At 40.4% G+C, this 15779-nt stretch overlaps 1 long non-coding RNA gene across 1 annotated transcript in view; it reads right to left on the bottom strand.

Moving 5' to 3' along the window:
- Nucleotides 1-15779, bottom strand: part of LINC01020 (long intergenic non-protein coding RNA 1020) — a 35646-nt gene that overhangs the window by 8761 nt on the left and 11106 nt on the right. The window contains exons 3-4 of the long non-coding RNA NR_026994.1: nucleotides 3416-3682; nucleotides 1563-1680 (exon numbers count right to left, since the gene is read on the bottom strand). This is a non-coding gene — a long non-coding RNA (long intergenic non-protein coding RNA 1020). The remainder of the gene's footprint in view (nucleotides 1-1562; nucleotides 1681-3415; nucleotides 3683-15779) is intronic.

Genomic DNA, 15779 nt, shown 5'->3' with positions numbered 1-15779 from the left:
TCCCTTAGAATTAGGTAAATATGGCTGCACAGACATCTAAACCAATTTGATTCTGGTTTCTTTGCAGGAAAATTGTCTATTCCAAGTAGATGTAGGTTTTATTTTCTTTATATTAAATAGTCCCTCAGTGATGTTTAATTGAAATTCAGGAGTCAAACCATGGAATTGGTACCCAAGCAGTACCTCAGAATCTTTCTTAACATAGGCAACCACTATCAATCAGTAATAATTGGTGCACAAGATGAAAGCTATTTTCTACCTCTTCTCTAAATAATAGGAGGTTTTTAAACTAACTTTCTAATTCATTAATTAGATTTTTGTGGTAGCTTGTATGTTATTTACTTCTATTACATTTTAAACTTTGGAAGTCAGATTTTTATTTCCCAGAATGCTTTGTTTCTTCCATATTGTTTTGTGCTCATGGCAGGGTTAGCATAGTGGTTTTAATGTTTTAAGTTTTTCTATTTTCCCTCTAAATTTATAGGGTCTCACTCCTGTAATTCAGGTGGGAGTGCATTGGCATGTTCCAGGCTCACTGCAGCTTCCACCTGGCAGGTTCAAGAGATCCTCCAGCCTCAGCCTCCTGAGTAGCTGGGATTACAGGTGTGCACCACCACAACCAGCTAATTTTTGTATTTTTAGTAGGGTATTTAGTATTTTTGTATTTTTAGCAGTTTAGTTTGCTTACATTCATTGATGAAGACATTAACAATTGACAGCACTCCTTTGGTGATGCATTGAGTGTACCCTCCCCCAAACCTGGGTGAACATGACCAAGAAGAATTTCTGCTCACTCAGCTCATCTTTGGTCCTCAGACACCTGGATCCAAGACCTTCTCATGGGCCCTGGAAATTCGGGGGCTGAGAGGCACTGCCCCTCTTTCTACAGAGGCTTCCCAATAGCGAGTAGGTTGTGACTGCTCAGTCTTCTGCCAAAGCTGCTCCACGTTTCAGGCACATAACTACACCCTCTTTATATTTTACAAATTCGATAATTTCTTTTCATGTTGCATTGGTTTTGACACTTCAGCAAGAAATTGGGAGACATAAGGATTTCCGTGCATGGCTTTATACATTTTTGAGGGTATTTTAAAATTATCCTTTAAGGCTTTTTAAAACCTAGTGCTTTAGAATCCCCATTTATATAATAATGTTCATATGATTAGCTATGATAAATTGAAATGTCACTAGAGCTCTTTTCTCATTCCACATCAGAGTAATGTAAAATATGAAGTCTATTTGTCTTTGGGTTGGAATTTAAAAATTTAGTGCTCTATAGTCAGTTAGCTTTCATCTACGACCTCCAAGTCGATGTGCCTGTTTTGTAGATTATCCCTTAACAAATATGCAGGAGATAAAATTGGAACAGTTATTGCTATTTCTCTCTTAAAATGTGGGACCAAGGATGGAGTGATGTCTGCCGCTTTGCCGTGGTCATGTGGTGGTGTGTCTGGCCCACTGATCAAGTATCTGTCCACCCAACTATGATGACTTCATTTTTTACCCAACTTTCTCTCCTTCTCCACCCAATTTTAGCCTTTTGGGCTTCTGTGTACACATACACTGCCTTCACAGCACTCTTAAATGACTACATCCCATTGTGTTTGGCTACATGTGAAGATCATGGTAGATTTCAGATTCTTGAAGATGAAGGATCTTCAATTCTCTAAAACAGCAATCCTAAAAATTAAAACACCATTTTAGAAGACAGACACATTCTCCGAGTACAACAGAATGTTTTTAGGCAATTATTGATTACATTTCGTAAGTAGAATTTTGCTACAATTTTTGGGAAATTGACATTGAGTCTATGCCCAAATTATAAAGTATTGCCTTTTCTACTAACAGCTTCAACAAAGTTCTGTTTTATTTGAGTTCCAAACCACCTTTATGCTGTGTTTGAAGTGCACTTAAAAGTAAAGAAGGAGCTGGCATGGCAGGAGGGGTGGAGATCTATAAGCCAAATCGGCAGATCTATAGCTCATCTGCACCTCTGCAGAAATCTACAATGCAGACACTCACGCAGAGGTAGCTTCTGTACCAGCAAAGCAATCAGACTGATCAATTAGAAGGAACAGAATCTAAACCTTTGACCAGTAAAACGGTATGTACTTGAATAATAACAAATGAATTTGGTAAGGTAACCTCAATCTAATTTGCATATAAATAATCATGTGATTCTAAAATATTAGGCTTTTACTCTATTTAAATCATATACAAAGAGAAAAAATAAGGAAATTCTTCAAATATCTTATTAGCAAAGTCAAATATTGATAACATTCAGACTTCTTTAAAAATAAATAAACCTTGGCATTGGCTGCCTGGAAAATCACTCCAGGACTAATAATATTTCAGGAAATATATCTCAGCTTATGTTAAGCAAGAGATGTAAACTGTGTGACTTACTTCAGCTGCCTGGGATTGATTAAAGTGTAACCAGTTGCAAATATAATAGGTTCCTATGGGTGTGCCCTAAGTATAAAACTAATGTTGGTTCAAAGCATTTATTCTGGGTCATCGAGCCAACATCAGCCATGAGGTCTAGAAAGATCACTGGATGGTTACTCTCCACTACTTTTAAAAGATATTTTTCCCCTTGATGACAATGAAAAGTAAAAGAATCATTGTGTCTCAGCCTTTTCACACTACTATAGCAAAATGCCTTAGATTGAGAAATTTATAACTAATAGAAATTTATTGATCACAGTTCCGGGGACTGGGAAATCCAGGACCAAGGTACCAGCAGATTCATTGTCTGGTGAAAGCGTACTCTCCTTCAAAGATGGCACCTTCTAGCTATGTCTTCACATGGCAAAAGGGATGAACAGACTCCCTCAAATCCTTGTATAAGGGGAGTATTCCCATTCATGGGGCCAGAGCCCTCATGACCTAATCACCTAATAAAGACCCTACAACTTAATACTACTGCGTTGGGAATTAAGTATGAACATGAATCTTGGAGAGACACAAACGTTCAAACAATAGCAGGGTGGAAAATCTAGCTTAAACTATTATTGGAAGTTAAATTACTTGATCTATTAAGAATGCAACATCTTTCCTCCTAGCAATCTCTAAAATTAAGGGTGGGAGATAATATGGTTATCAAAGTGAAATAAATGTCAACAGGCATTAAAATAAATTTCCATTTCTCCCATATCCAAATTGTATCTTCATTTTCCATTTGTGAAAAACTCTCTCTCTGTCTCTCACACATACACATGCACAATACATTTTTTTTTTACAAAAGATAACTAAATGGACACCACAAATTATAAAATAGATGACTATAACCAAAGCAACAATGATTACAATGACCAAAAATGAACACACTCATACTATGTTGTAATAGTGACAGATTTGGCCCAGTAACTTGCCCTTGTAGCAGTTCTTTTATTTTCTGTGATAATTGACTTACATGTTTTTTGACTTTGAGACCTTGTAGGATTTCAAGTTCACTTTCCTTTCTTTTCCTTCCTTTCCCTTTCCTTCCCCTCCTTCCTATCCCTTTCCTTCCTCTCCTTTTTGCTTCCTGTCTTCCATCAGTTTCTTCTTTCAAAAAAAATATGTGTTGGATCTCTAACGGGAGGCGGGAAACTCGCTGTACTCTGGGGATGCAGCGCAGAGTCCACTGGGATGCGTCTGCAGGAGTGCGCAGCAGTGAGCAACGTGACTGAGTAAAATTCTGGGAGGACACATAAGAGAGGGAGTTACGTTTGCCTGTGTACTCTGGAAAGTTTCAAGAGCCTAATACTTAAAAAAATGTGTCCTGAAATTGCAATTTATATTTTACCAATAAAGAGGGAGTAGAAAGCTGAGCAACCGGAAAAGCGAGTGGGAGTGTGCAGAGCCGGTGCGCGATTCTGCAAACAGAGCTGCTTTCCGGGGCGAGCAGCTCCTGGCATGTCTAGGGGAGGAGGTCCCTTTTGGGATGTAGCTTGAGGTAAGATTTAGAAGGATTTTAAAGGCAACGATAAAAGGATTGACATTTATTTTGAAGACAGTGGGGCCATGTCACATTTCTGAGAAGGGGACTTTATGAGCTGATCTGTGTTTTCAAAAGGCAACTCCCATCATGAGACTGGTAATAAATCAGCAGGGACGTGTCTGGAAGCTTTATTGTTTTATCTTGCACATTGAATTCTGTGGTCCAATTAAATCAATTTTTGTCTTTGGCATAAGTTAGAGGTCAAAATTCATTTTTTCAATGTAGATATCAGATTCACCTAGCGCTACCTATGGAGATTCTAAGACTTATCCCACTGATTATCAGTGGTTTCTTCATCACAAACCAGGTCACCATGTGGTAGGTTGGTTGCAGAAAGATCCTAATAAGTCTCCCCATATCTACTCCTTCAGTTCTATAATTTTTACTTCTCTCCAACTCTGCCTTGGACTCAGCCATGTGACTTACATTAACCAATTGGATGCGAAGAAAATCACATCAACGTACACTAAATTTCCATGTGCCTTTTTGCATAATTGGGCTTGCTGGGTTTTGGCTCTCTGCATTTACCGTGATGACATGTGTGGAGGGACTGAGGAATGTGAGAGTCCCGTGGATGAGAGCCCAGTTGTCTCAGCCATTGCAACTGAAACCATCATAAACTGGTCACAGCCACTGACCCCAAACATGTCAGGCAGCCCAGCCTCCATCAGCAGAGGCACTCACCAGACCTGCAGCTGACCACAGGTGAGACCTGCAGTTGACCACAGATGCCCAGGTGAGAATAGTAAAACTGCCCAGCTGACCACTGATGCATGAGCAATAACAAATTTACATTGTTTTAAGGCATCTGAGGATAGTTTCTAAAACATCATTATCATGACAATAGGTAATTAAGGCAGAACTGCTATGCAGAATTGGGGTGCTGGTGCTACTATAACAAAAATCGAAGATTCCTGTCTTTGCATTGTGGTCAAGGTTGGAGGAAGTGGAGGAAAATTGAGTCTGGAGTTATGGTGACCCATGTCATGTGGTGGTGGAACAAATCGTAAAGCCCTCATGCTTGCTAACTTGGGAGATAGCAAATGTACCTAATAAACTTTTTGATTTGAACAATTAAATTTTGAAGCAGAATGTTGAATGTTCAGCTGGCTCTTAGAGCTAAGTATAATAAGGTATTGCAAGAAAGAGATGAGCTAGAGGAAGAATGGAGCATTTTGCAATTAGAATTTAGAGGGAATATGGAAGAGCCAGAATTTTCAAATTTGGGAGAGAAACTTGTTTCTCATCTCCAGTATTTCCATTAGGTTAAAAAGGTCCTCAGGATAAAATCTCAGCTATGAGTGGAGACTAAATTAACAACATATTTGCAAAATCTTTTCTGATGACCTCAGCACATCCTCTCAGCTAGACAAAGGGATTTTACGTATCAGTATAGTAATCAAAATTGAAAATGTAACATTGATTCAATACTATTTTTCATCCATATTTCATATTCAAATTTTATTAATTTTCCCAATGATGTTTTCTGTAGCTACATTTCTTTTTTATATGCCAGGATCCAATTCAGAATTTGACATTAAATTTAATTGCCATGTCCAGTTTGTCTCCTTTAATCCAGAAAATTTACTCAGCTTTCATCTTTTATGATTTTGACTTTAAGAATTCAGCCCAATTACTTTGTAGAATGTTCCTCAATTTGGGTTTGTTGCATGTTTCCTCCTGATTGAATTCAGGTTATGAGGTCATGCTTTTCTTTTCTTTTGGCAGGAATATTAAAGAAGTGATGTTTCCTCCTCAGGGTGTCATAACTGTAGGCAGATGATATCAGTTTGTCCTATTATTGAGGATATTAAGTTGGATCACTTGGTTAAGGTTGTGTTACGTTAACCCATCCTAAAGTTTTTATTCCTGTTGTAAAAAAACAAATAACAGTGAATGTATGTAAATATTACTATTTAGCAAACTCACATTCATTATTTTCTGTGTCCAGCAAAGAATGCTGCCTGGATCAATTGTTATAGTACCATGGTGAAACTGTGTTTTCCTCACCATGCATGATGCCATTCAGAGTTGTTGGCTATATATTACAAATCAGTTCTAATTTAAGCAGGAAAGAGACTTATTTAGGCATACTAGAGACCGTCAGAGTGTGTCACAGAAGGCCAGAGAACCATCCTTTGCTGGAACACCCATGTGGCACAGCAGGACTGCCCCAGCAGAGGAACACCGAGCTGTGGGCACAGCCCCTGTAGATAACACTGAGAGCGCTGGGCCTGGGTGCTATGGCTGGCCTGGCAGAGTAGGTCTCCGCCCTTACCCTCACCACAATGGATGCTGCAAAGCACCTGCTTTTTAGATTCTCTGGACTCTGAACAGAAGCCTCACTCATGCCTATTCAAATATGCTTATTGTTGGAGCCAAGGTCACATGCTTGCACCTTAGCTGCAAGGGAGGATGCGAAGTGAGAGCTGGTTTCTTCCTTATGAGGGCAGAGCATCATCTCACAACATGAGGAATTCACAACCACTGGAGAGAAATGTTAGGAAGATTTAAAAACTTGATAATTTTTAGCAGTAAAGCTTTTCTCTTCCTTCCTTCTTCTTTCTTCTTTTTCTTTCTTTCCTTATTTTTTCTAATATTACCTTATATGATATTAAAACAGTTTTTTAAATTCTCTTTTACTTTCTTTAAGTTTATTCATACTTACATAAATAGGATTTATTCTAAATTTTTTCAACAGTGTCAAAAATTATTTAGGTCCTGTATCCTCCTTCCACAGCAGGACAAGGAACATGGTATTCGTTAGCTATTAACTAAAGAACCACTCAACCTGTTGTATAGAATTTTAACCGCAACTGTTTAATACACAAAAGTCAAATTTAGACACAGAATTGGTTATATGAACACATAGATGTTAGTAAGGTCTTTACTGGGCATACTTTCGTAATCCACACCATGCCTCCATAGGCACTTTGCTTTTTTTTTTTTTTTTTCTTAATATGTAGTCCTTCCTTTCAATGTAGAAAGCTTGTAAACTGTCTTAAATAAGACTGAAAATGTCTTTATTGCATCATAAATTCTAATGGTCATGGATTAGAACATCATTCAATATTGATTTTCCTCCCTCAGGTACCCTGAGCATACTTCATTGATTTCTTCATCAATTTGCCAGTGATGTGTCTGCGGTTATTCTTACAGATATTTCTTTTCAAAACATTTTTTATAACTTTTACTTTTTTTTCTTTAACTTGCTGTTCTAAATTGTACTAGCTTATGTCCCAATATGGATTTTTTTCTTAACTCACTCTAAACTCAAATTGAGTGTCCTACAGAAAAAGCAGAACTTTTAAGTTGGAAAATAGCCATTAACTTTTAGACTATTCACTTCTGTGTCATTGTCTTTTCATCTTCTCGAGCTGCCACTGAGAGTGTTTGGAGTCTCTCAATCTATCTTCTGTATCTCTTAGTTTTCCTTATTTTAAAAATAAAATCCCTTCTTGGCGTCTTTCTCAGTGCTATCTTACTACGTGGTAATTGTTTGGGGAGCTCAACTGTATCTTGTTCTCCACTCCCATCTCCAGTTTGACTGCCTAAATGTTAAGGTTCAGAGAGATTCATTTCCTTATGGATTCATACATTCATGCATTTACACATGCTTTCAAGAAGAATTCATTGAGTATTATTGGCACCGTGCTCTATGCTGAGGGTGACTGTTTCAAAGGTTTTTAGGTTAGAAAATTGACTTTTTTTTTTTTTTTACGTATTTTTATTATCCTAGTTCAAGATAAGGAAAGTGTGATCATTGATAATGTAAGTCTCAGGATATCGTTCTTAAAATGTATTAAATTTAAATTCCAGAAATTGGCTATTGATAGAAAACACAATAGCCATCTGTAAGTAAGATGTTCTGACATCTTACTCGCTGTGAATAGGTGTATGATACCTTCTTCCTGTGGGTCATCTAATGATACAGTCCCATTAATTTTTACACAATGAAAAAATTCAGGCCACCTTCAGTTGTCTTTTAGTTTTTTTTATTTATACAATAGAAGTAATTAATATTCTTTTTAGGTAAATGGCTATGGTTAAGTCTTTTGAAAAGAATGACAGGGTCTGCTTTTTTCCTTCCTGTGTTCTTCCTCCCCTTCTTCTTTCTTTCCTTCCTCTGTCTGTTTTTCTTTTTCCTCCTTTCATCATATGTATATTACCTGTATGGTACTAGCGGCTAGCAATCCTCACATCAGAAATATATAGTCCAGGTATCCAGGACTTCAGAGTCTCTAGAACAGCAGAGTTATGGTTAGTCTAACCATAGCAAGTTGACTGCTGTACCATTGTGGAAGTGAGACTGGAGAGGCTCAACTCCAAGGCTTCTCTATAAATCAAAGAAACTCTACAGAAGAGGTGACGATAGAATTGAAGCTTTAAGACAGGCAAATAAGAGAAAGGAAATGGGGCGGAATTTTAGCATAAGCAGCAGACAGAAAGATAAATTGAATTCAAACCCCGGGTTTGCCTTTGATTGGCTGTGAATTTAACGAGTCACTTAGTGATTACTATAAGATTCTGTTTCCCTATTTGCAGCATGGGTTAATGACAATATCTGCCTCAGCTGGCTTATTGTGAGGAGTACACCAGACAGAACACACAAAGAACTTGGCACAGTGCCTGGTGAAGTGGGAGCCCTCTCCAGGGATGAGCAGCTACAACTTTTAGTTGTTCGAGATGGGCCGGTGCAAGTGTTGCTTCCTTTTACTGTCAAAACACCAATACTCCACTGCCTGCATCAACTTTGCTGAGGTCCTGGAGCTCATTGGAATAATGGTATGCCCCCTGCCTCCAAGCATTAAGTGCCCTGTTATGATCACTGACCACTACTTTTCTGGGAAACTATCCACTCATTTGCCAGCAGCCCTCATCAGCTCCTAGAAACCAGGTGCTTCTGCTCAGCTTCCTACTGGGACCAATGAAGCAATGGAGCGAAGGTACAGGGATGACCGGTCAGATGCTGCTGCCCATGGGGAGAAGCACATGCCCTGGGGGCCTGATCATGAGGTGTCCAGTGTCAGAGCCCCTTGTTGGAGGGAGTGCAGAGAGCATGAAGTCAACCATCCTCCGATGGCTTTGCTCTGTCATCTTCAAGGACTTTGCACAGACCCTGATCAGAACAGAAGCTGCTGAGGCTGAACATGTGCTCATGGACTTAAGTGACTCTGAAACATCTTGACCACTCCTCCTACTCCTGGAAGTTATCCCAATGGCAGGAAGTAACTTTAAGATCACTGTGATTAACATGTAATCAAACAATCAATTAATCAACCAAATAGAACTTGCTTTGGCATTACCTTCTAAAGGAAACAAAATTGGTAACTTTGTTGAATGATTCAGAGCAAACAAGTAAAGTGCTTTGATAAAATCTGAACCCAGTTTGAAGTTAGAGGACATTCCCATTATTTTACTGAACTTCTGATTTATTGTGAGGTGAGAGAAACCTGTGTTTGTTTAGGGTCCCTTTATTCCTCATTCTGAGAATAGATCAGAATGCAAGAAAATCCTGGTCTGCATAGAAAAATACCTGAAGCAAGAGAGTGACACAAACTACTTGCATGGAATCCTTGGCAAAGAGTATATATGTGAGCAGGGGCTACCCTCAGGAATCTCCTTCCACCAAACCCCTAAGACACCCTAGACCACTGGCCCAAGTTTAAACTGTGGAAGTCTGGGAATAGCTCTGTCACGCTTTTTCTTTCCTTTAGAAAAATATTAACCTGAACACTCTATTTCCTAAAAGGCAAATACTCCATATTCCATCTTTCTCTCAATTATTGTTAATAATTATCGAGTACTTGCTTATTGGGCCATCCTTTGACCCAGCAGAGGGAATCTAGGGTCCATTTGCCATCCTGCTGTTGCTGTCTAAAGCAAATATTGAGAATGCTTGGATGCGAAATGGGGAGAGTTGTTAGACTTTAGGTAAGGAATCAACAACATTTGAACTTAATAAGAAATTAATTAATAAATAATAAAACTATATTTCTCACCTGAGCTCCCCTTTTCTCTTTACTGAATGGTGCAAAAGGTTCAGATATGCTAGGATCAAGAATAAAACAGCATGTGTCACTGACAAGAAAAAACAAGAAGGAAAACGTAGCCAAATGCACCAGAGAAAGCTCTTTATCTGTTTACAGTAAAGCTAATAAAGGGTTATACAGGGTGGGGGTGAAGGAGATCTGCTCCTGATTCCCGTCATGAGGGAGAGGGAAAGATGAGAATGAGTACTGAGTCACCCAGGATCAGGCCAGGAATTACTGTGTCAAGTTCTGTCTTAAGCTTCAAAACAGAGGAAAGAGGCAGTGAGGGAGAACCAGACTGATGACCACAGCCTGCATCTGGAAGACTGAGGCCAGACCCAGCACCCACACCCCCATCCAGAGGCCCCTGCAGGCCAGACATTCCGTAGGCCAACAAGGAGATGCAGGTGATTTCAGGTACATCTCACCCAACAAATGCTTCTGTGCCACCTGCTTGCTTGGACCCCTCTCACCTGGGCTTTCATTGTAGAAGAAATTATAAATGTATCTTGCCAAACAAAGAAAAACTTTCCAGTTTCAGTGAAAACTTACAAGTGATTTCAGAACAATGACAGGCTTCTCAGTGACTAAATCAAATGAGTTGAGATTGCTTTAGATTATCCAGGCAACCAAAGAGATACAATCAAACACAACAGTTTTCTGCCTTTAGCTGGAGAAGCCCAGAGGTCTTTAATGAGGCAGCCATTCCGCATATCCTTGCCCATTCCACGGATAAGTCCAGGTATATGCTAAAACTCATTGCAAATGCTCATGGTCTCCATGCGCGCCCTAAGCTAGCTCAACAAGCTCTAATTAGGTGATAGTCTACTGATAGGGCACTAGGATCCCTTCTACATAGCATAAGAAGAGAAAAGGGAAAGGGTTTTAATTCAGGGTCCACCTTCACATAATCCCTGCACTAGGCATTCTAGGAGGGTCTCATAGAGCTGGCTCTGTACACGGTGCTGTGATGTTTCAGATAAATAACTACAACACATGGCAACACGCTGCTCCTGCTGCCGTTGAGGGACTGGATGAGAGTTCATCAGTAAAGGGATGATGCGTCCAGTGAAGGAGGGATGTTGGATGAGGGTCATTAAGGGTCTTGGCAGGCAGGGGGATCTGGTCACATTTCTTTCTAGGGAACTAAGGGATGGTGTGGAGGCGGATGGAGGGCAGTATGTTCCAAGGTGAGTTAGGGGTAAAGCTTGACCACAGATTAAGAAACCAGAGAGGAGAGAAAGAGGAACATATTTACTGATATTACAAGGGGCCTGTCACATCAATGTAAGAGACATTTATTTTACTAGTTCAGCAGTAGATAGAGGGCATTATTAGGTTTTAAAATATCATCATGGCACACTGAAGTTAAAACAGGTAGGACAGGGGCTGGGCGGGGTGGCTCACACCTGTAATCCCAGCACTTTGGGAAACCAAGGCAGGTGGATCACCTGAGGTCAGGAGTTCGAGACCAGCCTGGCCAACATGGTGAAACCCTGTCTCTACTAAAAATACAAAAAATTAGCCAGGCATGGTGGCACACACCTCTCATCCCAGCTACTCAGGAGGCTGAGGCAGGAGAATCCCTTGAACTCGGGAGGCGGAGGTTGCAGTGAGCATAGATTATGACGCTGCACTCCAGCCTGGGTGACAGAGTGAGACTGCGTCTCAAAACAAACAAACAACAGCAACAACGACAACAAAAAACAGATAGGACAGGACAGTGACTATGGGCCAGCAGGCACAACTGGACACTGCTGCTCTACTCCTGACCAGTGCTTTCTCATATGCTAGTCACTGGCTGAACGCGGCCGCTGAGCAGTCGAAAGTAGACTAGTCTGAATTGAAATGTGCTGTAAGTATAAGGCGCACTGTATTTAAAAGTTTTAGTACGAAAAGAAGTAAACTATCTCACCTACGGTTTAACATTGATCACATTTTGAAGTGATAATATTTTTAATATATTGGGTTAAACAAAATATATTGTTGAAATAACGTTCAACAGTTTCTTTTTATTTTTCAAGGTGGTTACTAAGGTTACCAAAATAACTTTTTTTTTTTTTGAGACAAAGTTTTGCTCTTGTTGCCTAGGCTGGAGTGCAATGGCGCGATCTCGGCTCACCGCTGCCTTTGCCTCCCGGGTTCAAGCAATTCTCCTGCCTCAGCCTCCCGAGTATCTGGGATTACAGGCATGCGGCACCGCATCCAGCTAATTTTGTATTTTTAGTAGAGACGGGGTTTCTCCATGTTGGTCAGGCTGGTCTTAAACTCCCAACCTGAGGTGATCCCCCCGCCTCGGCCTCCCAAAGTGCTGGGATTACAGGCGTGAGCCACCTTGCCCGGCCTAAAATAACTTTAAGCTGCCTATGTAGCTGGAATTGTTTTTCTGTTGGGCAGTGCTGCGTTAGACAATGAGAGCTGGGAAGGTGGGCAGTGGGCCCAGGGAGGATCAGAAGAGAGGCTGACCAGCTGCCTGGATGGGTCTTTCAGGTAAAGAAGTGGGACCCCAAAAAAAGGTCCATTGGGAATAGGAAGAAGGACATCCTGTTGGAAAGATACCCTTTCTGGCTTGGAAAGGGTAAAATGTGTGTCGTGCAAACTGTTTTTAAAACACTGAGGAGTTTAAGTAGTTGGTCCAAGGTCATATCTCAGTGTGGGTCAGTGTTGGGAACCGTAAACCAAGTTTGTCTAAGGGAGGTCACCTCCCAGGGGTCACTCCTTTAGCAGAAATTTGGAGACACAAGGCAGGACAATCTACTTGAGTGGGCAAGAAAAGTAACATGCACAGACCAGTCACCTGTGATTCCCTTTCAAGCACTGGCAATGTGCACCTCTTGGTGAAAGCTCTAGGTGGCTGCCTTTCACTTGGCTAGAAAGAGGGGTCCTGTTAGCATGAGGCTTGCCCATCAACCTTTGTTCGTGGGTAGGTGCCTAAGGTTGCTGCCCACGTGTGTTCAGGAGGGAGCCTTCCTGGAACTGTGGAGCTCTTTTAAACTTGTACTCTTCTTTCAGCTCCTACAGGAAAAATCTCTATTTGATACATCTGAGGCCCTACAACTTCCCTAAGCTGCTATATTTTAACTAGGATTAATAAAGAGGGGCTTTGCTGATCAATTTCGAAAGGTTATACTTTATAAGCCCATCTGTTTTCTAAACCTACAACACAGATTTTTATATTTTTTCCACGTAGATAATTTGAATTCTTGGAGTGCATTAATCTGTTTTAACAATATTTTCAGTTGCCAGGTAAACTTAAATTGCATTTCTAAGCTTGACCTGAGGAATATCAATGTGTCCTGTCATTTTGGCATTTAAAAAGTTTTCTTTCAATTCGATGAACATAAAACTATTCCTCTAGAAAGATACATGCAATGGAGGCTTGAAAACATTTTGGTAATGCATTCAGAAAAATGAGATTGCTTCCTTGATTGGATTAAGATGTAATAGTCTTTGGGGAAATCGTTTAACCTCGTGGAGCTTGGATAGTTCCTTGGCTGGTGAGGAAAGTTCACCTACAAAGAACTTATCAGAAACCGTAGGGAAAACACTTTCCAGAACAATTATGGATTTGGCTATGGTGGGGATTGTTCTTTGCACAACCACTCCAAGGCAGGGCTGAAAAGGAACTGGGTCAGGGGCGAGTTCCATCTCCCTCATACCCTTTCCATGGGGCAGTATCAGATTTGGGCACCTGACAAAGGAAGCCAGTCGAATGACAGCCCCTTTGCAAAGTTTTCCAAAGTCTTTGAATCAATTTCCTTTGTGTTCTCAGGCCACTGAGATTTTCAGACACAAACCAAGAGGATTGAAAAGATCTCATTTTAGGGGAAAAAAAAACTAAAGAGGGGATTTCAAAGGCATATACCCTGGTTAGTAATTCTTCTCAGCTCTTCTGCATAACTGAAACTGAAACACATTACCCTCCTTCACTAGAGTTTTCATGTAAAAACTACAGCAAAATCACCTGGTTATGCTTGAGCCAGGACTGACTAAAACATTAAAATTTGGGCAGTTCTTTATTACAGTGGGAAGTCCCATGGACCGAATTCAATTGTCCTATGAAGCGGAACTTTCGTCCTAAAAATCAGAAGTAGCTGGTGTTGGACTCAACATGATCCCAAACTCACCTAATAGCTGCCTCTGAGAATGCAATTTTCAGTCAGGAGCACAAGAGAAGTGCTCATTAAAAGTGCTCATGGAACTTCATTAAAAGTTCCATGTTTGGCCAAAACCCCAGAAAAAAAAAATCAGTCAGTATTTTCAAGGTCCCACCTGGCTTGGTTCATCATCCACAATGAAACGATTGAAAAAAATGCATGTGCCTGACCCAGGTTCTTACTCATAATGTTTCTGTCTGAAATGTGAAGTTGCTGTCACCTGCCTGTAGACAGAATATTTAAAAACGAGAGTTCATGGTTTTAGTTGAGACTGTGTAACAGCCCCAAGAAAAAAAACAAGGGAAAAAAACTGGATGTGGAAAACCTAAGTTTTCTGTAGAGTTTGACAAAAATCACCACGTCTGTCAACATGTGGCTTCCAGCTTCAAGAAGTTTGTCTCTTTATGTTGAGAACAAGGACAGAGTAGAAAAGCAGAATAAATATTGGATCTAAGGTCTAAACAGATCTGCAAAGGGGATCAGCCCTCAACGGTCAGCTATAGTATCTGCCATCTTTTTCTTAGATGCTTTCCTTATAATTGCATAGATACAAAATGTTATTGTATATGAATCCAGGTATACAAATGGGACAAGGAAATCCAAAGTGTAACATTATAAAACAGTCACAAAAGCTTATTATATTCCAAAAGATAACTTGTCATAATAAAAGAGCAAACAAACAAACAAACAAAAACCACCAACTTCAATTTAAATCACAGAAGAGAATAAGTGGGCAAATGCTTTTTCAGGCACATCTGAGAAATTTTGTTTGAAATATCCTGTATCATGTCAAAGGACAAAACTCAGTTAAGGATAGATTAAAATGTACCAACACATGAATCTGGACTCCCTGAAAGACAGGAAATAGGAAAGAGAAAACTCATTGCAGTGGTGGAAAGTCCACTTTTTCAGACAGGCATGGGTGAGTGTCCTCCGACCAAAGAATTGAGCTGTCAGAATGAGTTCAGATGAAGCCTACATCCCAATGCTCTAGACTAGAATTCTTACCTTTGTCGTGGCTACGTAAGACTTGATTGTGTAGATAGGGAGAGTTGAGCCTGCGATTGAGGATTAACTGTCATTTTTTGTTGGGAGAAAACTTGTCCCTGACTTGGTTACTTTGAGTCAGTCTGAGGTACCCACTGTCCACTCTCCTACTGGGGAAGGTCAGCACCAGCTTCATTCTCCTGACTACTGTGCCCTCTGCATGCTTCCAAGCCCACCAGGTTCCGCCAGGCTCTGCTTATGTCCTGTGAGCCTTGGCTCTGACCCTTATTGCAGTTCACGTCTTGCCCATGTGGCCTGGTTGCTTGGTCTTTGGCTGGTGCTCAGCTCTCCTTCAAGAGCTTGGCTTGGACCCCCACTCTAGGGATTCTTTCTGGTTCAAAGCCAATGGCAGGAATTCCTGCCATGTTTGTTTCTGATCTAAAGCCCAGCCAAAGGTAGAAAACAGGGGTCCAGGCCGAGGATGTTGTGTTGAGATCCCACACAGCTATTGACTAATAGCAAGCAGCACTAGTATCATTGACGGTACTAAAAAAGGTACTCTGCTCTCATCACCTCATTGCATCCTCTCTCATATCTTGGCAAGAGAATGATTGCTAC

This window comes from Homo sapiens, chromosome 5, assembly GCF_000001405.40.
Source record: "Homo sapiens chromosome 5, GRCh38.p14 Primary Assembly".
Taxonomy (NCBI): Eukaryota; Metazoa; Chordata; class Mammalia; order Primates; family Hominidae; genus Homo; species Homo sapiens.
Note: the sequence above shows the minus strand (reverse complement) of the source record. Positions and strands in the feature narration are given on the sequence as shown.